The sequence below is a fragment of the Homo sapiens genome, chromosome 2, assembly GCF_000001405.40.
Source record: "Homo sapiens chromosome 2, GRCh38.p14 Primary Assembly".
NCBI classification, from domain to species: domain Eukaryota; kingdom Metazoa; phylum Chordata; class Mammalia; order Primates; family Hominidae; genus Homo; species Homo sapiens.
In genome coordinates, this window is record NC_000002.12 from 159,776,301 (window position 1) to 159,800,779 (window position 24,479).

A 24,479-nucleotide genomic window follows, 5' to 3' on the forward strand; every position below is an offset into this window, starting at 1 on the left:
GGGTTGCTTCCACCTTTTGGCTATGGCAAATGATGCTATGAACATAGATACACAAATATCAAACAGATGGGTGTACGGATATTAAAGAGTCCTTGCTTTCAGTTATTTGGGATACATACTCAGAATTGCTGGATCATACGGTAATTCTTTTAATAATTTTTTTTGAAGAACCACCACACTGTTTTTCACAGAGGCTGCACCATTTTACATTCCTACCACAAGAGTTCCAATTGCTGCATATCCACACTAATGCTTGTTATTTATTGTCTTCTTCCTATAGATTAATGAGGATGTAATTCCTGTATACACACAAACCCAACACTTCTTTTCTCCTCCTCTGTCATAGTTCTATCGTAGTAACCCCCAAATAGAAAACTGGCAAAGGACTCACATCCAATTTTTTTTTTTTTTTTTTTTTTTTTGTGAGATGGAGTCACTCTGTCGCCGAGGCTGGAGGGCAGTGGCGTGATCTCGGCTCACTGCAACCTCCGCCTCCCAAATTCATGCAATTCTCCCTGCCTCAACCTCCCAAGTAGCCGGGATTACAGGCGCCCGCCACCGTGCCCGGCTAAGTTTTGTATTATTTAGCCCGGCCCATATCCAAATTTAAAGAAACAAAATTTGTTTTAAAAATTCCTACCAAAAATATAGGCAACTCAAAAAAAATATGGGTGGCTGGGCATGGCGGCCCAACGCCTGTAATCTCAGCACTTTGGGAGGCTGAGGCGGGTGGATCCTTTGAACCCAGGAGTTTGAGACTAGCCTGGGTAACATGGTGAAACTCCATCTGTACAAAAAAAGTTAGCTGGGCATGGCGGCCCACACCTGTAGTCCCAGCTACTTGGGAGGCTGAGGTGGAAGTATCGCTTGAGCCCAGGAGGTCAAGACTGCGGTGAGTCAAGCTCACACCACTGCACTCCGCAAATGGGTAAAAGCCTTTTCACAAAAGATATACAAATAAATAATCATCTGAAAGGTGCTCAACATCATTATCAGGTAAATGAAAATTAAAGCCACAAGAAGATCACTACACACCTGATCTGAATGGCTAAAAATAAATTGACAATACCATCATGGGATGAACATGGAGCAAATGGAACTTGGACGCACTGCCAGTAGTAACATGATTCAAGCATTTTGAAAAATTATTTGGTGGTTTCTAATAAATCTAAATATATATACTTGCCCTATGACCCAGCTTTCTACTTTCTAGAATATACTCAAAGAAAATGAGAACATAGGTCCAAAAGAAGATGTGGGAGAATGTTCATAGGCAGTTCTATTCAAATTAGTTTAAAACTAGAAGTGATCCAAATATCCATAAACAAGAGAATGGACAATATATGATATATTTATAAAGTATTATGACACTTAGGGAAAAAATTCAGTGAATGTGCACAACACAGATGAATCTAAAAAAATATTCCCGAGTAAAAGAAGCCAGACAAAACTACATATTGTAGAATATATTTAAAATGTTGAGTCTTATTACTAAGAGACCTTTCTACATTCTTATAAAAATTGTTCTACTTTATATTACATAATTTTAAAAAGGGATCTGTAATGTATTTTAATATGCCAGAATTTTGATATATTTTTAATTGTGGGAAAAATTTAAAGACCAAATCATTACTTACCTGATAAATATTTCCTTTTGTATGGGACTAAAATACAAAAGAAAATAAAAATTAGAATTTAATTATGCTTTATTATAGGATTGACTTTAAACATGTTCACAATCATTAAAAATAAACCCTTTTATTAGTAGCTTAATATCAATATATTCATAGCCTAAAATCCATATTTCTTTGCCTCATTAGTTGTCTCTGTTGTCTATTTTGAACTTAGTTTTTAAAGAAAGATGTAGAGGGCTAACAACATGCATTAGCTTGGTTGGTGGAAAAGAATACGGGATCTTGAGGAAAAGACAATAATGAGGTAAAGGAAAAAAGAGGATTCTGGTTGGAGAGTCTAGAAAACAAATGTCATAAAATTAAACAACTGTGACCCTAACTACCTTAGTATGGATGTACTCACTATTTCTGATGTTTTGAAGTTATAGTTTAATTAAAAACTTTGTTTATGTAATGGCACCCTGAGGTGCAGAACCTGAAAAGAACCAATTTTTTAAAAAACAAATATTTGAAGTTGAATACTGCTACCATAAAACTATGACGAACATTTTGATAATCACTGTAAAACTAACAGTAGTCAAGGATCCTGCTGTAGCAAGTAAAGAAATGTACATACTTCCATATGTAAAGAAAGGAAATAAAGCAGGATGTGGAGTTTTGGTTTACAGTTGAAGTAGAAGGGGAAAATACTGAGGATGCAAAATGGGGAAATGGTTGTTTATATCATGTTTTAAGCACCCTAAATTCATATTTTGAAACATTAAAAAAACTAAAAACTTTTTTTGTAGAGATGGTGGTCTTGCTATGTTGACCCAGGCTGCCTCAGCCTCAAAAAGTGCTGGGATTACAAGCATGAGCCACTGTACCCAGCCCACATTTTGAAAATTTAATTTTCTTTAATGAGAAAACAGTTACTTTCTAAAACTTAGAATAACAAACTGTGTAGTGTTTTAACAAATAACATCAAAATACTGTTGTGGGCCAGGATAACTTCTGTTCATTAAAAAACCTTCTGGGCCGGGCACAGTGGCTCACGTCTGTAATCCTAACACTTTGGGAGGCTGAGGTGGGCAGATCACAAGGTCAGGAGTTCGAGACCAGCCTGGCCAATATGGTGAAACCCCATCTCTACTAAAAAATACAAAAATTAGCCGGGCATGGTGGCGGGTGCCTGTAGTCCCAGCTACTTGGGAGGCTGAGGCAGGAGAATCGCTTGAAGCCAGGAGGCAGAGGTTGCAGTGAGCCAAGATCGCGCCACCGCACTCCAGCCTGGGCGACAGAGAGAGACTGCATCGCAAAAAAAAAAAAAAAAAAAAAAAAAACCTTCTGACGGGTCAGAAGAAAACATTTTAATTCCAAATAAATTATAAACTATGATGTAGTTTTTGTTTGCCTAAACAAAGGATGTTCTTATGGAGAATCTAATTCCTTGTAAAGTAACACGAGAATTCTGGAATTATACATGATTACTCTTCACCACTTCTGCTCACTCAAATCACATGCAAAGAGATTATAATAATTCCTCTGAACAAGAAATTTTTGACCTCTTGGAAACACTAAGCAGACAGAATAAAAGTATGCCTATTTCATGTGATCTGGCCTTACCTCCTAAATGTAAGAGAATTACAATTTGAGTTCCAAGAGACTTAAGAGCAAACCATCCTATTAATATATTCTGAAGTCTTATTCCCTCTATTTTTTTTTTTCTTTTTGAGACAGAGTGTTGCTCTGTTGCCCAGGCTTACTGCAGCCTCAACCTCCCAGGCTCAATTGATCCTCCCACCTCAGGCTCCCATGTATTTCGGACCGCAGGTGCACGCCACCATGCCCAGCTGATTTTTGTATTTTTTGTAGAGATGAGTTTTCGCCATGTTGCTCAAGCTGGTCTTCAACTCCTGCGCTCAAGCAATCCAGTGCCTCAGTTTACCATAATGCTGGGATTGCAGGCGTGAGCCACTGTGCCTAGCCTTATTCTATTTATTGAGGCACACTTATCTCAAAATTATTTTAAAACCAGTCCTACTTTCTCTGCCCCTTCTAGAATGGAAAAACACCTTCGGTCATACTTACTAGCTGTTTTGCATAGTGTTCCTTCCACAGAAGAAACTTCACAATTTCCTTTTTTCCATTCACCTGTCTTGATGTGCAGAAAAGCACAGGTGTCAACTAAATCCTCATCATCATCTTGGTCTGTCCACTTATCAAATGTCATATTTGAATTATCAAACCACTTGAAACTCGCATCTGTCAATTAAGGAATATTTTCAACATTATGACAGTTTTAAAAGGAGTTCAAGCCAAAAAGGGTGTAGGATTAAAGGTGGAAAGTTACTAAGGTATGTCTGGTCTAAACTTCTGATTGTAGGATTAAAATTAGAAGGAGGAATATATCCTGTGTACAGCCAAATCATCAAAAGCTATCGATTTAAGAGGTTTCTGAAGATGATCCAATTTTCGCAAAAATATATACATGTATAATATTCTCATGGGAAAAAAGTCAAGAAAAATAGTTAAATATTAATAGTAACCTTAGTAATTTCATTTCATTTGAAAATGTTTACATATGTACTTTTATATTTGTACATATGTACTTTGTCTACAGTAATGATAAATATGTTTATATAATAGAACCGTGATAATTTAGTCTATCCTTAGCCTATTAGTTGCAGACACTAATACTTACCTTTATGATCATGCTATATTACAAAAATACTGAGCCTTAGAGCCACATTTTAATCCAGACAAGAATCAACTGTGGCTTTCATCTGTGTAACTCATTGAGCTATGCAGATACAAGCTGTGGTATGATCATAGGTGCACACTGAAAATTTAACACCTGGAGGCCACAGGAATCATCAACTTGAACCAGAGAATTGAAAAGCCATCAGTTTTGCTACATTAAAAAAAGAACAACAAAGTCACGTCCCACGAGGTAAATATCACTTACCATCTGTGTCATAAAACATGCCTAGTAGGATATCATCTGGGCCTTTCCATTGCTTTTTCAAAGTATCCAGTATAAAAGCATTTTCTTCTTCATTATGTATGCTTATCATGTCCGCTCCTGAAATTATTTTAAAGAGAAAAAAAGTCAGCATATTCCAGAATCAGTGAAAATCACTAGGTACATAAAAATAATAAATAGTTGCTTAACTTTCTATATATATTAGAGCTGGACAATAAACTTTGATCTTACAGTTCATACAAGCTAATAAGGTTACAGGGACATGTCTTGGCTCTCAGCCTCTAATATGATTTATGTCATTGAAATTATGTTTATGTCTCAGTATACTTTACATAATTTTTTTTAAGGGATGGAAAATAGTTGTAGGGGCTGGGCGTGGTGGCTCATGCCTGTAATCCCAGCACTTTGGGAGGCTGAGGCGGGTGGATCACCTGAGGTCAGGAGTTTGAGACCAGCCTGGCCAACATGACGAAATCCTGTCCCTACCAAAAAAAAATAAAATAAAATAAAATTAGTTGGGTCTGGTGGCACCCACCTGTAATCCCAGCTACTCAGGAGGCTGAGGCAGGAGAATTGCTTGAACCCAGGAGGTAGAGGTTGCAATGAGCTGAGATCACACCACTGCACTCCAGCCTGGGCAACAGACTGAGACTCCATTAAAAAAAAAAAAGGGAAAGAAAGAAAGAACAAATGAAAAGAGAGAGAAAGAAAGAAAAGAGGAAGAAGAAAAAGGAAGAAAGGAAAGAAAATAGTTGCAGGGGAAAACTTGTTTTAAAAATATTCTAAGACCAGCAAAATTGCTATTATTTTATTTCAACTGCCTTGAAATAAAACCATATTGGCATGTTGGAAATTTCGTCTTGTTTTCACAGAGCCAATGTTCATGTAAGACTTTTTCAAAGGGAAACAACATATATGTATTAAGTACTATGTGGCGCTTTAATAAGATTAATAACTTTGGTGTTTACATTTATTCCTTCTATAATAAATGTATATGATTTTGATTAAGGTATCCCTAGTACAATTTGATACATTCTTCCAAATGTTATTGTTGAAGAATATAACAGTAATAAAAAGCACCTTTAGGCTGGGCATGGTGGCTCACACCTGTAATCCCAGCACTTTGGGAGGCTGAGGCAGGTGGATTGCCTGACCTCAGGAGTTCGGCACCAGCCTGGTTAACGTGGTGAAACCTTGTTTCTACTAAAAATACAAAAAATTAGCCAGGTGTGGTGATGCACCCCTGTAATCTCAGCTACTCGGGAGGCTGAGGCAGGAGAATCACTTGATCCTGATCACAAGGTCAGGAGACGAGACCATCCTGGCCAACAGTGAAACCCCGTCTCTACTAAAAACACAAAAAATTAGCCGGGCCTATTGGTGGGCGCTGGTAATCCCAGCTACTCGGGAGGCTGAGGCAGGAGAATGGCGTGAACCCGGGAGGCGCAGCTTGCAGTGAGCCGAGATCACGCCACTGCACTCCAGCCTAGGCGACAGAGCGAGACTCCATCTCACAAAAAAAAAAAAAAAAAAAAAAAAAGACATTTTTTTGGCTGGATGCAGTGGCTCACACCTGTAATCCCAGCACCTTGGAAGGCCAAGGTGAGAGGATCACTTGAGGCCAAGAGTTTCAGACCAGCCTGGGCAACATAGTGAAACCCTGTCTCTACAAACAAACAGATAAAATAGCTAGCGCACGCCTGTAGTCCTGTCTATTCAGGGGGCTGACATGGGAGGATCACTTGAACCCAGGAGTTCAAGGCTGTAGTGAGCTATGATCATGCCACTGCACTCAAGCCTGGGGGACACAGCAAGACCCTGTCTCAAAAAAAAAAAAAAAGACACTTCAAATATTTTACAATGTGATGTTATAAATCTATTTCCTAGAGAACACTGAGTGTATGGTCTAGCAAATAGCCTTTTTATAATTTTTCCTTAATGTACTCTTCTTTACTACAGTCTTACTTCATGGTCCTATGTAATCTGACTTCAGCACTTTCCAGGCAGAATAACTAAGTGATTAAGAACTCTAAGCCTAAAATCCAACAGATCTGGGTTAAAATCCTGGCTTTGTCAATTATTTCCTGTGTAAGCTTGAACAAATAACTGAAGTTAATTTCATCTCTCAATAAAATGATAATAATACACTACTTGATAGGTTTGTTATGATAAAGCCAGGTAAAGTATATGAGGTGCTTAAGCACAGTGCCTGGCACAGGATATGCATGTTAAATAGACCCTGCTTTGGACAATATTGTCCAACAACTGTCTTCCAACTCCAGGATTAAATATATACCCAATTCCACTGCCTGTAGCTTGTGTGTTGTCAAATAAAAGTTGTACATTAAATCTCAGGACCCAGTTAAAAGTCAGATGTGACAAAATCAATTTTTAAAGAAATTAATGAACACTGTTCACTAATTTGTGAAAAAACAAACAGAAAAGAATAAGCCTTTTACCATGGTCAGTACACTGATTTCTGACATCCTCTATGCTTTCTACTTTGATGGCTTCTTGGAGAAAAATGTAACAACTGTCTTGGAACTGAATCCAAGTAGATGAAGGACAGTCTATGTAGAAAAAAGAAGAACACTGTTAAATAACTTGAGAAAAAGAATTACATGAATTCCCAAAGATAAGGATATTAGATACTAAATTTTCACACACACACAAAGGCAATTTCCTTTGTTAAATCTTTATTAAAATAAGAAATCAACCAGTGTAACAGGAATTTGTTTCTCTCCATTATTCATACGGGAAAAGAGAAATGTGCCAATGATTCTCTTCTGACTTTACAGAGCAAAGATACAAGTTTTTAGGTTGTTTAGGAATTCAGACATGTAAATTAGTGTTATCACCAAGGCAACAAACTATCTAGAAGACAGCCAATCAGGATTACACACTTCTCTTTGAAGGTTATCTTTGCAGTATTTAACAATTTCAAAAGTCTTAAGACTTTTACAAGGCCCTGTTGTTCAAATTATACCTCCAAGAACAGAGAAAAGAAAAACAAGTTGCTAGCCTATAAATATTCACACAAGTTTTCATATTGCACAGGAAAACAAGATTGATGTTCTTATGAATGTTCTTAATTTAACACCTCATCAAAGTAGATTATTTGAGGTAGTTCAATGAAATAGAACCATAACTCTTCCTCTACTGCTCTAAAGGGACATCTCCTTCACCTCTATCTTAGTCTCTTTTTATTATAAAGATTTGCATTTTTAAGCCTAGGCTCTAGAATTTAATTGGTTAGTATTAAAAGCAAAAGTAACCCTGCAAGAGTTGATTTCACTGGCCAAAATGGAAAGAGAATTTTACTTAATTCCAGTGAATAAAGAAGTACAAAGCAGTAAGCGTCCATATTCTGTTAGGTTTGTATATAGGTAAAAATCTTAGTGATTTCATCTATATAAATATGTAGCAATTTTATGTTTTAAGTTCTGCTTTTTTTTTTTTTTTTTTTTTTTTTTTGAGACAAGATCTTGTACTGTCGTCCTGGCTGGAGTGCAGTGGCGCGATCTCAGCTCACTGCAGCCTCTGCCTCCTGGGCTCAAGGGATCCTCCCACCTCAGCGTTCCGTGTAGCTGGGACTGCAGGTATGTGCCACCATGCCCGGCTAACTTTTGTATTTTTTGTAGAGACAAGGTTTCGCCACGTTGCCCAGGCTGGTCTCAAACTCCTAAGCACAAGCGATCCACCCGCCTTGGTCTCTTAAACTGCTGGAATAACAGGTGTGAGCCACCACGCCAGGCCTAAGTTCTGCATTACCTTTTTAATATAAACAAGTAGAAGCAAGCCCTACCACAAAGATCAGAATTTACCAATCAGCTACATTAATCTAAATTAATTCAACACTCTCAAGTTTACTAAGCTCAGAATATGGCAGAGAGCATTGGTTGTCCCCAGTACTGACCTCAGCTTCTTATATAGCACAGAGCACATGGCCACCAAGCTAGATTGCTTCGCAGTCTTATAACTTCTGGATAATTAGGGTTTAGCAGAAGTGGAATGTTCAACATAGCGGTCTTGCCTTTAAAAGGAAGCAGTGTGCTCCCTGTATCCGTACAGACTTTTTTTTTTTTTTTTTTTTGAGACAGAGTCTTACTCTGTCACCCAGGCTAGAGTGCAGTGGCATGACCTTGGCTCACTGCAACCTCCGCCTCCCAGGCTCAAGTGATTCTTGTGCCTCCGCCTCCTGAGTAGCTGGGATTACAGGTACACAACACTACACCCGGCTAATTTTTTAATTTTTTTGTAGAGACAAGGTCTTGCTATGTTGCCCAGGCTGCTCTGGAACTCCTGGGCTCAGCAATTCTCCCACCTTGGGCTTCCGAAGTGCTGGGATTACAAGTGAGAGCCACTGTGCCCCACCTATAATTTATTTTATATCCAAATTTTTTTTCCTTCCAGCTGTTTTATGAGCACTTGAATTACACATATGACTACCTTGGGTTTAACTCTGGCAGGAATCTAGAACTCTCCCACAATGCTGGCTTAAAGATACGGTTGTTTTGCAACAAGCAGTTTGCTTTGGGAAAATGTTCATTATGAAACATTAAAACAATCTGGCTATAAAATTACATGATACCAACATTTACAAAGCAAAGAAGTCCAGAACAGAGTCAGGAATTGGAGACGCCAGACAGCTTTGTAGGAGGAAGGTCTGAAAACAAGACACTTGGTTGAAAGTCTGTATATGGAGCAGGTAGATCCTTTCCCTGAGAAACAGCACTCAGTCGTCTCAGGTTCATTATACATTTCTGCCACCTTCTTTGAAAATCTGGCCTTTATTCAGAGAAAAGACTCTTCTTCCTTCAAATCCACTTCCAGGCCATCAAACATTATTCTCTGTCTGCTCATCCTTTGAGGCTCAGGCCATCTATACCACCTTCTCCAAGACATCCCCACTAGAATTGATTGTGACTGTTGCATGTAACCACACACCATCCAATGGCAGTGTAAAGTACCAGCAGGAACACGGCTTTAACGTCAGACAGACTTATGTTTTTATCTTGGTGGTGAGACCTTGGAAAACTTATATTATTTCCTGTGTTTCATCAGGAAAAGGGAGATAACATCTACCTCATTGGATTGTTGTAAATATCAGGTAAGATACTGCAAACCTGCACAGCACAGTGTCTCGTACAAGGAAAGTATTAAAAATATGTAGTTTTTACAGACATCATCATTGGCATCTTTTGCTCCTGGACAGTGACCACTCTAAAAATAGGGACTAAGCCTTATTAATTTTTGGATTCCTAACACCTCAGATAGCTCTTGGATTATAATAGGGACTTAAAATATTCAGCTGAATGAATGAATCCTCTTATTTGTCCTTAAGTAGCTTAATTTATCATCTCTTCAGCATCTTCAAACACTCCCTTTCCCTGTGGGTTCAACCTTTCCTTCTTGAAGCATGTTGTCTTTTTCTTTTTTTTTTTTTTTTTTTGAGACAGAGTCTCACTCTGTCGCCCAGGCTGGAGGGCAGTGGCGCGATCTCAGCTCAATGCAACCTCTGCCTCCTGGGTTCAAGTGATTCTCCTGCCTCAGCCTCCCCAATAGCTGGGATTACAGGCTCCCGCCACCACACCCAGCTAATTTTTGTATTTTTAGTAGAGACAGGGTTTCACCATGTTGGTTAGGCTGGTCTTGAACTCCTGACCTCTGGTGATTGGGCCACCTTGGCCTCCCAAAGTGCTGGGATTACAGGCATGAGCCACTGCGCCCGGCCAAGTTTCTTACATACTAAAATATAACTGAATTGACCTTGCTGCCAATTCTAATACCTTTCCTGATACACTTTTTAAAAACTAAACTTTTTATTCAAATAAAACATACATGCAATGCACAAGTCATAAATATACAGGTTGGTGAATTTTTTTCTTTTTTCTTTTATTTTTTGGTGAATTTTTTATAAAGTAAACATACCCATATAATTATCAGAGGAATGAGGAACAGAACATTAACCCCTTTTGCTCACCATCCCTTCCAAAGGTCATCTCTAACCTAACTTCTAACACCATCGATTAGTTTTGCCTGTTTTTGAACTTTATAGTTATGGAATCATACATTGTGTACTCTTTTGTGTCTGGCTTCTTTTGATAAATGTTACTTTAAAAATCATTTTATTTAAGACTTATCTAAGAACTTATTCATTCTTCTGTTGATGAATATTTGGGTAGTTTCTAGTTTGTGGCCATTGTAATGCTGCTTTAAACATTCTATGCATACTTCTTGTGAGTACCTTTGTAGAAGTAGATTGCTGGGGCCATCGAGTATGCATGTGCCCAGCTTTCACAGATACTGCCAAACACTTTTTCTAAGTAGTTATAATTCTTGCAAGCAGCAAGTAGTTTTTTTTTAAATCCAGCTTGATCACCTTTGTCTTTTAATTGAAGTATTTCCAGTAATACTTAATGTAGTTACGATGAATTGGAGTTTATATCTACCATCTTAATATTTGTTTTTCATTTGTCCTACTTATTTTATGTTCCTTTTTTCTCATTTATTGTCTTTTTTGTATTAAACATTTTATATTTGATCCTTTTTCTTTTAGCTTGTTAATTATATATTCTTTAATTTTTTTTCTGTAGTAGCTACCCTGAAAATTATAATATGTGACCTTGATTTATTAATACCTCAAATAAATCAGTACTTTTACCACTTCCTAGGCAGTCCTAGAAACATACAATATTTTAATTTCATTGGCTTCCTTTCCTTTATCTTATTGTTTTATTACTGTTTTGCCTGGCCGGTGTTCTTTTAGATTTAAATACATATTTACCCTCTCTGTTGCTCTTCATTCCTTCTCGCATTTCTGTATTACTGACTGGGATAATTTTCCATTTGCCTAAAGAAATCTCTTTGGTGTTTCTTTAAGTGCAGGTCTACTGGAAACTCCCTCAGTTCTTGATACTCTATAAATGTCTCCACCAGGCACAGTGGCTCACGCCTGTAATCCCAGCACCGAGGTGGGTGGATCACCTGAGGTCAGGAATTTGAGACCAGCCTGGCCAACATGGTGAAAACCTGTCTCTACTAAAAAATACAAAAAATTAGCTGGGTGTGGTGGCGGGTGCCTGTAATCCCAGCTATTGGGGAGCCTGAGGCAGGAGAATCACTTGAACCCAGGAGGCGGAGGTTGCAGTGAGCCAAGATTGCACCACTGCACTCCAGCCTGACAACAGAGTGAGACTCCGTCTCAAAAAAAAAAAAAGAAAAAGAAAAAAGGTCTTTATACTGTCTTCATGTTTGATGGCTATCTTTGCAAATACAGAATTGTAGAATGGCAGCTTATCTTTCATTTAAGATGTACATAGTCATGCACCATATAATGACATCTTGGTCAATGATAGACTATATATGGCAGGGTTCCCATGAGGTTATAATACCATTATTTTTACTGTGCTTTTGCTATGTTTAGAAACACAAATACTTATGTTGTGCTACAATTGCCTACAGTATTCAGTATAGCAACATGCCATACAGGTTCCGCAAGTTACTGCAGAGCAATAGGCTCCAGCACGTGGCCTAGGTGTGTAGTAGGCATACCATCTAGGTTTGTGTAAGTACACTCTACGATGTTTGCACAATGACAAAATTGCCTAATGAAAAATTGCATTTCTCAAAATGTATCCCTGTTGTTAATTAAGCAATGAATCACTATAGTTTTGTTGCTTGGGCTTCCATCATTTCTACTGAGAAGTTAACTGTCAGTCTCACTGTTGCTTTTTGGACAGTAATGTGCTTTTCCCCCTTCTTGCTGCTTTCAAGATTTTCTTTGTCTTCGGTTTTTAGCAGTTTTACAGTGGCATGCTGTTGTTTTAGTGTTTTTAAATCCTGCTAAGAATTCAATGCACTTTCTGAATCTGTGGCTTATTTTCATTGGTCACTTTTGAAAAGTTCTTGGCCATTATCATTTCAGATGCTACTTTTGCTCCATTCTCTCTCTCTTCCCTTTCTGGGACCAAAATTACATCTATGTTAGACTTTTTACCATGTCCTGTATATCCTTTTGCTCTTTTCAATACTGTTAATACTCTCCATAATATAATCTCATTCTTCCTGGTTTATTAATGCACTCTTAAGTTGTAACTTAACTGGGGTAAGGGTAACTCCAATTTTTTTTTTTTTAAGACAAGATCTCTCTCTGTCACCCAGGCTGGGGTACAATGGCATGGTCATAGCTCATTGCAGCCTTGAACTCCTGGGCTCAGGTGATCCTCCCACCTCAGCCTCCTGAGTAGACAGGATGGCTAATTTGTTTGATTTTTTTTTTTGTAGAGACAGGGGTGTCACTATATTGCCCAGGCTGGTCTTGAACTCTTGGTCTCAAGCAATCCTCCTACCTTGGCCTCCCAAAGTGCTGGGATTACAGGCGTGAGTCACTGTGCCCAGCCTACTTCAGTTTTTCATGCTGTTAAACCCCATCTATTGAGTTTATAATGTCAGTGATTTTTCAGTTATAGAATTTCAACTTGATTATATTTTTAAAATTTCAATTTGATTATATTTTAAAATTCTCAATCTTAGTATTTATATTCTTTAACTTATCGTAGTTATTTTGAAGTCCATTTCTGAAAACTCTAATTTCTAGGTCAGTTATTAGTCTGTTCTCTACTCTCCTACCCTGCACCCTCACACCCCCTTAGGCCTGTTTTTTTTTTTTGTTCTGTCTGGTAGTTTTCTATCAAATGCCAAACACTGTGTATGAAAAATTGTAGTAACTCTAAATGATGTTATCTTCCTTTAGAAAGGATTCTGATCAGCAGGGACTGAGTCTATGTGAAGAGGTGTTCTAGACTTTGTAGACTTTTGATCCGTAGGGATTGCCAGTTGAAAGCCTGGATATTAACTAGAGCCACCTCCTCTTTGGTGAGCTAAGACTCATGTTTTTTCTTTCCTCAACACTATGAGATTGCCAAAAACTCTGCTCTGCTTTTAGCTATTTAAGATTTTACCAGCTCTCCTAAGGAGAAAAGTAATACACAGACTGTTGGGCTCACCTCAGCAAACTGCCTTAGCAGCTCTCTGATGCCAGCAAATACGATTCTTATGGAATTTAATCTAGATTTTCTAGTTGTTCTTAATGGGAGTGTTAGTCTCCTACTCCATGATAGCCAGATGCAAAATTCCATCTTTTATACTTTTCAACAAGTTGTCAACAGTTGGTCACCCATCTACCCATCATCCATATCAGACATTTGCTGAGCAACTCCTATGTGTTAGGTATAATGCTTAGTGTTAAGGGGTGATGAGAAAAAGAGTAAAAGTCTTCTACACTTGAAGTGGTCAGTCTGATGGAAGAGTCGGACAGACAAACAGATATTCCGAAGGTAGGATAGGTAAAATGCTATGAGATGTAGGAGAAGGAGAGTATAACTTTGTAGAATAAGTGAGCATTTCAAAAAGTAGGCAATATTTAAGCTACAGCTCACTGGATAAATAGGAAGTTGCCACGGATAAAAGGAAAAAGAAAAAAAAAATCCAGGCAGAGGGCATATGATAAAAAGCACAGTTACAGGTACCTAGTAAGGTCTCCATAAATATTCATTGAATGAGTGAACTAGGATAAAAAGGCAGGTTTCTTCCCTCCTTCCCCTCTCTGCTGCCAGAGACATGACAGAGGACACAGAAGTCATTTCCAGAATAAAACTCAAACTGAAAGTCAAAAGGGCAGAGGCTCTAAATTGCAAATTTTGATTATTCTTTCTCTTCTTTTTTCCCTTTTTACTTTCTTCTGGTTCCTTTTATTGCTCTTTTTCTTTTACCTTATGGAATTTTAAAAAAGTGAAATGGAACTGCATTACCACACTGAATGACACCTGAAACACTTTTATAAATCATTGGCAATTATTGAACCACAGGTTCAGAAATGCACTTTTGTATTATTTCTAGTCAAAACTACAGATAGTGTTTTCTACTTATAACAAATAACTCGACAATATATAAAAATGAATTAATTTTTGAAACACCATTTATATAAAATAAAATGTCTAATAAGTCCACAAAAATATAATCAACACTCAAGTCAAGCACTTATAGTTCTTTTTTTCATCTTTTGCTCCTGGCATGCTGTGAAAACATGTAGTTCTTATACTTTATAAATTAAAACGATCTGAAGATATGATCTCTAAAACACTGATTAAGGTATATTCTTATTTCAGTGGCAGCTCATGTGTCAATTCTCCATGAAGTGTCTCAGCCTTATCTTCCTCTAACCTGTGACTCCTTTGAACATCTGTAGGACTTTTAAACTGCATTATGCATGAGAGACCTTTTCTGGCAACAAGGACTAAAGACATGCTCAGGCTACCAGATGATAGATTTATTGTACAGATACATGGCCAATAAGAAAACTGAGGATACTATCTCAACAGTCAAATAGGCTTAGCGTTCATATACTAGGCCCCATATTGGGCTGATGCCTAGCCTAGAGTAGCCAGCTTTTGACTAAGGAAATTATCCTTATTCCAATTAGTTGTGTCTAGGGTTTTAAAAATAATATGGCACAAATCATAAGAACTATGGGTAGTCATTCTTCTTTGGAAAAGGAAATGTGTTACCCTCTGATGGCCTATACATGTTTACATAGCACTCATTAGATCCTTCTTTATATAGCGGCTATCTGATATGCATCCTGTTTTCCCAAATGATTGTTAACGCCACGACAGCAGAGACCATGTCTGAGATCTAACTACTCTCAATAATAACTATCCTTCTGTCTTGAACATAACACTGGAAGGGATGCATAGAAGTGGGTCAATACAGGACTCTGGTTAAGCCCATTAGACTGTGGAGAAAAGTCTGGCTCTGACTACACAATCGTGGACATGTTATTTAACCTTACTGTGTCCCAGTTTCCTCATCTGTATAATGGGAATAACAGTACCTATCTGAGGGGGTGCTGTTAAAAAATTGTGCAAGGTGCTTGAGATTCCACAGTGAACAAAAAGGAAAAGAAATTCCTGCCCTCCTGGAAATTTATGTTCTAGTTGACGCAGTTATGCAAAAGGAAGACAAATACATAAAATAATATGTTAGATGGTGTATTGTGGTCTATTGCTATGTAAAAAATTAGCAGCTTAAAACAAGAAACACTTATTATATACAGTTTCTCTGGGTCAGGAATTCTGAAGCAGTTGCTTGTCTGGGTGATTCTGGCTTGGGGTCTCCATGAAGTTACAGTGAAGATGCTGGCTAGGGCTGCAGCCATCTAAACACTGAACTGGAGCTGAAAGGTCAGCTTCAAGAAGCCTCACTCATATGGGTGGTGAGCTGGTGCTGGCTGTGGGCAGGACACCACAGTTCCTCACCACGTGGACTTCTACACAGGGGTGCTTGAGGGTCCTTATGACATGGCAGGTAGCTTCCCCCAGAGTGAGTGATTCAAAGGAGGGCAAAGGTGGATATGCAATGCTTCATACAATCCAGCCTTGATTGTCACACTGTCTTATTTCCATACTATCTTATTGGTTATTGTATTAGTCAGGGTTCTCCAGAGAAACAGAGAACCAACTCTGTGTGTGTGTGTGTGTGTGTGTGTGTGTGTGTGTGTGTGTGTGTCTGAAAAGATAGGGAAAGAAGTCACATGGATATTTCAGGCAAACAGAGGGAGGAGCAAACACAATGCTACTGTGTTGCACAGTATGGGAATGACTATGATGATGATAATGATAACCAGCTACTCAAAGACCATTGCTGAATAACTAAGTTAGCAATACAGAAATGGTCCCGAACTTAATAATGGACAACTTACGATTTTTTGACTTCACAAGTTTATTGGGATATAGCCCCATTCTAAGTCGAGGAGCATCTGCATGTGACAAGACCAAAAAAAAATTTTTTTTTAACAGGGTATGTATAGAAAAATAGAAAACAGACTGTTGACTCACTTCCCCAAAACTTTCAACTGCCTTCTCCTTAGGCTCATTTCAGCATTAGCAGTAACTCCAGTTAATTCAACATGGAACCCCTTTTCTCATGCTATAGATCCCCGATCAGAGTGTGTGCCCCAGAAACAAGTTTTAAGCACTACTCAAAAGATATATTTTTACTTTGAGAAGAACAGTGCTCAAATAGAGGCTGGATAACTCCTGTGAGGAGATTGTTGACGTTCATGCACCTCATGAACAAAAGACTAAACTAAGTCGTCTTCAACGCTAAGTATCTTTGCCATAATCCTAATATAATTAAAAACCTGCCCACTAAGCTCTCTGCAAAGGGCCTATTACTCTTATTTCTTCACAGCAGTCCTGAATGATAGGTTGTTATTAATAATGCACTTAAATGACTCTTAGGGATTTTATAATTTTATAATTCTTTAATACGTACAGAAATTCAGGAGCCTCATGAATATTTTAAAAGCTGTACTTAGCATAACTCCAAAAGTTTCTATATAGATCCTCTGCCTAAAATTATCATGTGCTAAAAGAAGATAATGTCATATCCACAGGAATACTTTGCATTACCAGTCAAATCTAATAGAACTCTCTGTTCCTTTATAAGTTCTCTGTCTCTCTTTTTTTTAAAAAAAGAAAAAAAAAACAGGCACAGCATGAGGAAGTGATTCTTGGGACATACTTGTTCTAAATGTTAACAAAGGAAAAGGGAAAGACTTCTTTTTCATTTTCATTGTCAATAATAAGACCTTTGCTCCTCTCCCATTAAGATATGAGTTGTAGTCACATAACTTCCGCAAGGGCAACTGTGGCACAGACAGATGAAGAAGAGGGGCTATTTATTACATTTATAATGTATGGAGGAGGGAGTGGCTGTTCCAAGTCCCTGACTAATCCAGAGATTCTGTGGCTGTACTCTGAGCTTCAAGATCTCTCTGAATCCCAAATAAATTGAGGCACTCTGACACCTCATCCCCTCTCCATATCACTCTTCCCAATCTAGCTTTCAAGACATCCATCTCCATATTGTCCCATCACTTCCCTCTTCAGAAGGGCTGTTATAATGTATATTCATAGAAGGGGTGTGCCATTGTTAATCTGTACCTTTCTCTTTGGGCATCACTGGTCTATTTTTTAAAGATTTGGTCTCAAGATTTGCTCTCAAAATCTAAAATAGGCCAGGCGTGGCAGTTCACACCTGTAATCCCAGAGCTTTGGAAGGCTGAGGTAGGAGGATCACTTGAGCTCAGGAGTTTGGGACTAGCCTGGGCAACAAAGTGAGACCCCACCTCTACAAAAAAAAAAAAAAAAAATTAGCAGGGCATGGTGGCATGCACCTGTAGTCCCAGCTACTCAGGGGGCTGAGGTGGGAGGATCACTTGAGCCCAGCAGGTCAAGGCTGTAGTGAGCCATGATTGCACCACTGCACTCTAGCCTGGGTGACAGAGTGAGGCCCTGTCTCAAAACAATAAAATAAAATAAAATAAAATAAAATAAAATAATAAAAAAAAAAACACTAAATAACCCACAGAAGGAATGAAATACTTGATATGCACAATAAAAATTATGGAAAGTAACCTTGCTGCAAAACTAGTTTTCAACACATAAGCAAATTGTTAAAAGATTCTCAACAGTAAAAGAAGTCCTGAAATAATACCTAATTGAAATTTCACTTTTTCATTGGAAGAAAAATAAACATTAACATTTCAAAATTAATTAATTTATTTATTTATTTATTTATTTATTTATTCATTTATTTATTTTGAGACTGAGTCTCGCTCTGTCGCCCAGGCTGGAGTGCAGTGGCGCGATCTCAGCTCACTGCAAGCTCTGTCTCCTGGGTTCACGCCATTCTCCTGCCTCAGCCTCCTGAGTAGCTGGGACCACAGGTGCCTGCCACCACGCCCGGCTAATTTTTTGTATTTTTAGTAGAGACAGGGTTTCACCGTGTTAGCCAGGATGGTCTCGATCTCCTGACCTCGTGATCCACCCGCCTCGGCCTCCCAAAGTGCTGGGATTACAGGCGTGAGCCACCACGCCCAGCTCAAAATTTATTTTAAAATACTCTAATATTTAATCTGAGATAATTTCCCCTGAAACATAACTGTGCCATACACAAGAGTCAGAAAAGGTGGCATCAGGCCGGGCACGGTGGCTCACACCTGTAATCCCAGCACTTTGGGAGGCCGAGGTGGGCAGATCACGAGGCCAGGAGTTTGAGACCAGCCTGGCCAACATGGTGAAACCCCATCTCTACTAAAAATACAAAAGTTAGCCAGGCATGGTGGCGCATGCCTGTAATCCCAGCTACTCGGGAGGCTGAGGCAGGAGAATTGCTTGAACCCAGAAGGTAGAGGTTGCTGTGAGCCGAGATTGCGCCACCGCACTCCAGCCTGGGTGACAGAGTGAGACTCCATCTCGGAAAAAAAAAAAAAGAAAGAAAGAAAAGGTGGCAGCAATAGATTAAGATGATTTAAGGCTTTGAATTCATTATGAAATGAGTGCATAGCAGAGGTAATATAATTTGAAAAAAATTGCAATCCACTTATCCTACCTACTTTTTAAATAACTCACCTAAATTTTTTCATCCTTTTATTATAACTTAGAATAAAGTGCAGAGACACAAATCAAAACAAAACAAAAATCCACAAGATGGTAAAATCTCTGTTATGGAGCTTCTTTCCCCTGGTAAGAGAAGCAACAAGCAAGACAGATGAATAAACACAATGCATTCAGAAAGGCTTGGAAAAGATAAAACATGGACATGTGACAGAGAATGTGGGTGTTCAGGGAGGCTTCGGAGAAGGTGACATATGAACAGAGATCTGAATGGTGGAGGTGGGGGCAGCCATGCCAAGGACTGGGGGAAGGTGGTGTGCACAGAAGGACCAGAGGTGTTGGAGTACCCAGATACTGTTTACTCTGTGGATACACAGAGTGAATGGCAGGAAGGGTGGTAAGAGATGACATCAGGGAAGAAGGCAGAGGCACCTCATCTAAGGCTTGTAGGACATGGCAATTCAAAATCCCTAGATTCTGATCCACATGATGATCACAGAATGAGGACTTACTCGGAACATGCTTGTTCACTCAGCTCATGCCAGGCATAGGAAACCACTGACCAAATAAATACATACTGATCATCTATTATGTGCTTAAGCACCCTTACGGAAAAACTTTTTAAAGCGATGCCATGGATTTTCACTCAGGAATTTAAAGAATGTTTTGTCCACTGTGATTTTCAAAATAATAGCTAAGAACAAGGTTAAGATCACTTCACTAATAACCTCCAGAATGACAGACAATAACAATGATTTCCGTTTCAACATCACATTTATATGCAATACCCATATTTATTATGCAACATCATAAGAGCTTTTCTATTAAGATCTTGGTATTCAGCAACAAACTCTTTCTTGACTTAGTTCTAAGCCAAATATGACCCCTGATCTTGCTTGGATGGGAGATTTGTAAAGTATTATGAAAAACACACTTAGTTTTTCAGCCCTATAACATTAGCATACATATGAATGTGTTCAGTAACCATAAACATCCAATATACATAAGGTGGTATTCATACGTTTTCTGGTTGCAACAATTACCCTTCATTTTGTATGAAGAGAATAAAGGGAAGGAAACCAAGATGAACCACGCCTGTAATAGGGACTAGACGTGGAGTTCCCACTTAATGCTCCCAATAGCCCCATGAGTAAGTATTATCTCTGTTTTACTGAAGTGCAGATAAGTTGGTTAACTAGCTAGGTCAAAGCTCACACTCATTTCCAAATTAATCCTTAAAGCTTCCTGACTGGGAGGAGCTGATTAATTAACATTAATTTATTCATCATGCACTTTTCTAAAGCTCTTGAAAAGCCTATTGATCCACACTGGACTTATCAAAGGAAATGCACAAAAATTTCCAAAGGGAAATTTGCCCTCTATTGCTGGTCAAAACAGCTTCACTGAAGAAGAGACATACCAAAATCTAGAAACTGATTTTCTTTAAAAGTCTGACAAGAAAGAAAAATCTGACAAGAAAATTCGACTAGCCTAAAGTACAAATGCACAGCCTCGCAGAGGGTGGTTTACATGAGAGTTGAGATGTTACTGGCTCGCAAAATGAGGGTGTGCAGAAGGAGGGTTCAGAGACAGCCCAGCTTTGTCTTAGACAAAATTAATGTTCCCAGTCTGAACAATGTGAACATGGGCACATCTTGTTTCTGCCCCTTTGATAGGCAGCAGATGTCACAACCAGTCATAAATGCAGGTCCACAGAAGTTTTCAAGAAAGGAACCTTGGGTTTGTATCCAAGTTCTGAGCTGCTGCTGCCTCCAACACTGAGGTCCACTGAAATATTCCTGTCAGTAGACTTCGAGCAGGCAGTTATTATAAAAACGCAGTGAAATCTGGGGCAAGGGGTGGGGGGGGGGAATCTCTTGCATTTTATTTAAATCTCTTGCACTTTATTTAAGCCCACACAAGTACTCATTTAGTTCTTGTTTATTTTGCTCTTTAATTCCTGGAATTATTCAGTCAGTGGTGTTTTTGGAAGTCTGTGTTCTCCAGAGTCTCCCCATCCACATATTTTTGACATGCTTGTATGGAAATTTTTTAAAAATAAAGACCACGGTCAATAGAATTGTGCATTTTCCTCACGAGTCGTTTTGTAAATGAATGATCACGTGTGTGATTTTTCAGATGTCACTTGCACAACAGCAGACTAGAACTTTAAAACTCCTTGATTTCAGTGAAATCCAAGCTTTGCCTATTCCCGTTCCTCTTCCATCCAGGGGTTATTTGGCTGAACTGTTTTCCTGTTTAAACAACTTGAACACCAACCAACTAGACAAACAGCGCTGCTTGCAAAAGAGGGCCTACTTCCTCCGGCCCCCACCCCCATCCCAGCAACCCCACTCCGGCCGCGCACCAGCAGGGGAAATCGCCACCAACGTCCCCGCTTCTCATTTCAGCCCGAAATTGCCCTGAAACGGCGCCCGTCGTGCGACTCCAAGTCCCTCAGTTCTCCGGCCAACTGGCCTAATTTGGGGGTTCCCTCCCCGCGGAGTGGGGTCTGCGGTGAGGATGTGGACTCCGAGGAAGACAGAGCCCTCCCTTATTCTCGGCCACCTCCCCTCCCCGAGGGCAGGCGGGTGAGAGGTGACCCGGAGCCAGGACCCACGGGGGACGGGCGTGCAGGGAAGGGCGGGATGGCCGGCCGGGTGTTGCGTCTGCGGGCCGCCCTCGGGTGCGCGGGGACGAAGAGCGTGCGTTGGGAAGGGGGCGAAGGCGGTCGCGCACGGTCCCGGCGAGGGACTACGTAAGGGCTTACCCGCGACGGCAGCAGCGGCGAGGCCCAGCAACGGCAGCAGGAGCGCGGGCAGCGCGGCCCGGAGCATGACGGCGGGTGCGGGTGGGCGGCAGCGGCTGCGCGGCCGGAGAGGAGCGGGGCGGGGCGGGAGCGGGGGCGGTGCTTCTCGCGTGCGAGTTTAATCCCCCCCCCGGGCGGAACGTGAACGGCACTGGGGGCTCCCACCAGGAGAACCCGGGTGTCCCGTCCCGCAGGAGCGGCTGGCGCGCGGCCTTCTGGAACTTCTAATTTTTGTTTTTTAAACTTTTCATTTGAATTGAAATAATTTAGGACTTTCGAAAATGTTGCAAAAACAGCACAAGAGATTTCCGTAACCCTTCAGCCAGCTTCTCTAAATATTGACATTGTATATAACGCCAGTGCAGTGATCAAACACAGGGCACTCGCACTGGGATAATGCGATTAGCTAATCTACAGCACTTACCACATTTCATTAATTGCCCCTCTAAGGGTCCTTTTCTGTTCCAAGATTCAATCCAGGATCATACATTGCATGTCGTGTCTCCTTAGTCTCCCTTTAATCTAGGACGGTTCTCTGTCATTCTTTTTCTTTCACGATCAAACCACATTTAAAAAGTACTGGCCAGTCGTTTTGTAGAATGTCCCTCAGTTTCATTTTGTCTGACATTTCCTTCTAATTGGATTCAGGTTGCGCTTTTTTGGGAAAGAGTTCCCCAGAAGTGATGTACGTGCTCGAGAAGGACAAGATGTCGATGTCTCATCACTGATGTTAACTTGGATCAGTTGGTTAAGGTGGCGTTTGCCAGCCTTCTTCTTTGGATCTACTGGCCAGAATCCTCCTTTTCAAAGACCCCTTTCAGTGGACTATGTCTCTTAGACAACTTTTCTCTGTTACCAGCTCCTGGATGAAGAGTCTTTAAGCTATGTTTGCTACAATGTATGCATAAACTGTGCAATTATACTTCACCCATGAGGGCCTCTGGACAACACTAGCCAGGGTCAAGCAAGGGTGCTTGTTTAAGCCTCATGTCATTGGCAAAAGAGTTCTATAAAATCAAGTCTAAACTCAACAACGTGAAAACAAATGACCCAGTTAAAAAAAATGGTCAGATGATCTGAATACACACGTCATCAAAGAAGTTATATAATGGCAAATAGATGAAAAGATGCTCAACATCATATGTCATTGCTGAATTGTATATGAAAACAAAAATGAAATACCACTACATACCTATTAGATACCAGAATCCAAAAACACTGACAAGACCACATGCTGGCAAAGATGTGGAGCAAAAAGAACTCTCATTCAATGCTGGTGCAAATGCAAAATGGTACAGCCACTTTGGAAGACAATTTGGAAGCTTCTTCCAAAACTAAACGTACTCTTACCATACCATCTAGCAATCACAACTCCTTGGTATTTATCCAAATGAGTTAAAAACTTACATACACACAAAAACCTGCACATGAATGTTGATAGCAGCTTTATTCATAATTGCCAGAACCTAGAGGCAAACAAGATGTCCTTCAATAAGTGAATGGATAAACAATGGCACATCCAAACAATGAAATGTTACTCAGTACCAAAATTAAATGAGCTATCAAGCCACAAAAAGACATGGAAGAACTTTAAATATGTATTGCTAAGAGAAAGAAGCCAATCTGAAAAGACTGCATACTATATGATTCCAACTATATGACATTTTAGACAAGGCAAAACTATGGAGACAGTAAAAAGATAAATGGTTGCCAGGGGTTGGGGTGGGAAGAAGGAGGGGATGAATAGATGGAACACAGAGGATTTTTAGAGCCATGAAATTATTCTGTAGGATACTGTAATGGTAGATGTGTATCACTATACATGTGTCAAAACCCATAGAATGCACAAAACGAAGATGAACCCTAGTGTGGACAATGGACTTTAGTTAATAATGTGTCAATATTGGCTCATCCACTGTAACAAATGTACCTGCTAATGCAAGATGTTAATAATTGGGGAAACTGGGGTATGTGTAAGGAGGTACATGGGAGCTCTGTACCTTCTGCTACATTTTTTGTATACATCTAAAACTGCTCAAAAATTAGTCTATTTTTAAAAAAATAAAATCTGACCCTTTCCAACTCTTTCTAACCCTTTCCACACTTCTGATAATCCAGAGTGGTTACACCAAGGAAATTTGACCCAAGGGGTCTATAAGGAGAGTCATAGAGTGTTAGAAGTGGTACTAGTAAGGAAATTGAGTGACCCAAAGAAGGGATGTGATTCCCCCGTGGGCTCACAGAGAATGCCAACAAATGAACCAGAGCCCAGCTCCTCTGCTGGACTCTCCCACCTATTCCAGGTTCTGCCCCTTTGCCAAAGTATTAAGGTCTTGCTTAACTTATTTACTTCCATTTTTCTTCTCAGGCTGCCAATACTGAGTTTATTATATACCAAACTCCAGACCAGAGCAAATCCTTCCAAAGATACTCTATATTGGAATATTGACACATCTTGATTCTGGACCCTTTTGCCCTCCTAACTACAGAAGTAAAATGAACAGTTCTAAGCAATCATGTAATTGTGAAAGTTATCTCTTCCACCCCCACCTCAGGCACCAAAGTATATTTTATCAATGTGGTTTTGTGTTAAGCTACTTTTCAAATAT

At 39.5% G+C, this 24,479-nt stretch overlaps 2 protein-coding genes and 1 long non-coding RNA gene across 6 annotated transcripts in view, besides 1 other annotated feature; 1 reads left to right on the forward strand and 2 right to left on the reverse strand.

Annotated features, from left to right (window-relative positions):
• CD302 (CD302 molecule) overlaps positions 1-21,908 on the reverse strand; it is a 29,581-nt gene extending 7,673 nt beyond the window's left edge. The window contains exons 1-5 of one of the 3 annotated variants that reach the window (NM_014880.5): positions 21,832-21,908; positions 7,059-7,169; positions 4,582-4,698; positions 3,705-3,878; positions 1,638-1,664 (exon numbers count right to left, since the gene is read on the reverse strand). In NM_014880.5, the coding sequence (NP_055695.2) occupies positions 1,638-1,664; positions 3,705-3,878; positions 4,582-4,698; positions 7,059-7,169; positions 21,832-21,898 (496 nt within the window). In that variant the 5' untranslated portion in view covers positions 21,899-21,908. The remainder of the gene's footprint in view (positions 1-1,637; positions 1,665-3,704; positions 3,879-4,581; positions 4,699-7,058; positions 7,170-21,831) is intronic. The other 2 variants (NM_001198764.2, NM_001198763.2) reach the window with 2 other exon arrangements.
• LY75-CD302 (LY75-CD302 readthrough) overlaps positions 1-24,479 on the reverse strand; it is a 136,129-nt gene that overhangs the window by 7,673 nt on the left and 103,977 nt on the right. For both annotated transcript variants that reach the window (NM_001198760.1, NM_001198759.1), the window contains 4 exons: positions 7,059-7,169; positions 4,582-4,698; positions 3,705-3,878; positions 1,638-1,664 (listed from right to left, as the gene is read on the reverse strand). In NM_001198760.1, the coding sequence (NP_001185689.1) occupies positions 1,638-1,664; positions 3,705-3,878; positions 4,582-4,698; positions 7,059-7,169 (429 nt within the window). The remainder of the gene's footprint in view (positions 1-1,637; positions 1,665-3,704; positions 3,879-4,581; positions 4,699-7,058; positions 7,170-24,479) is intronic.
• Positions 8,503-8,672: an enhancer, noted in NCBI's record as "experimental_53950 CRE fragment used in MPRA reporter constructs". NCBI's record gives its function as "activates a minimal promoter by MPRAs in K562 erythroleukemia cells, with activity observed for both the introgressed and non-introgressed 2:160641399 variant alleles {active_cell/tissue: K562}" and the evidence as "EXISTENCE:reporter gene assay evidence [ECO:0000049][PMID:34662402]".
• On the forward strand, positions 18,890-23,952 carry LOC124906083 (uncharacterized). The gene is made up of 2 exons (XR_007087273.1): positions 18,890-21,652; positions 22,519-23,952. It is a non-coding gene; the product is annotated as an uncharacterized LOC124906083 (long non-coding RNA).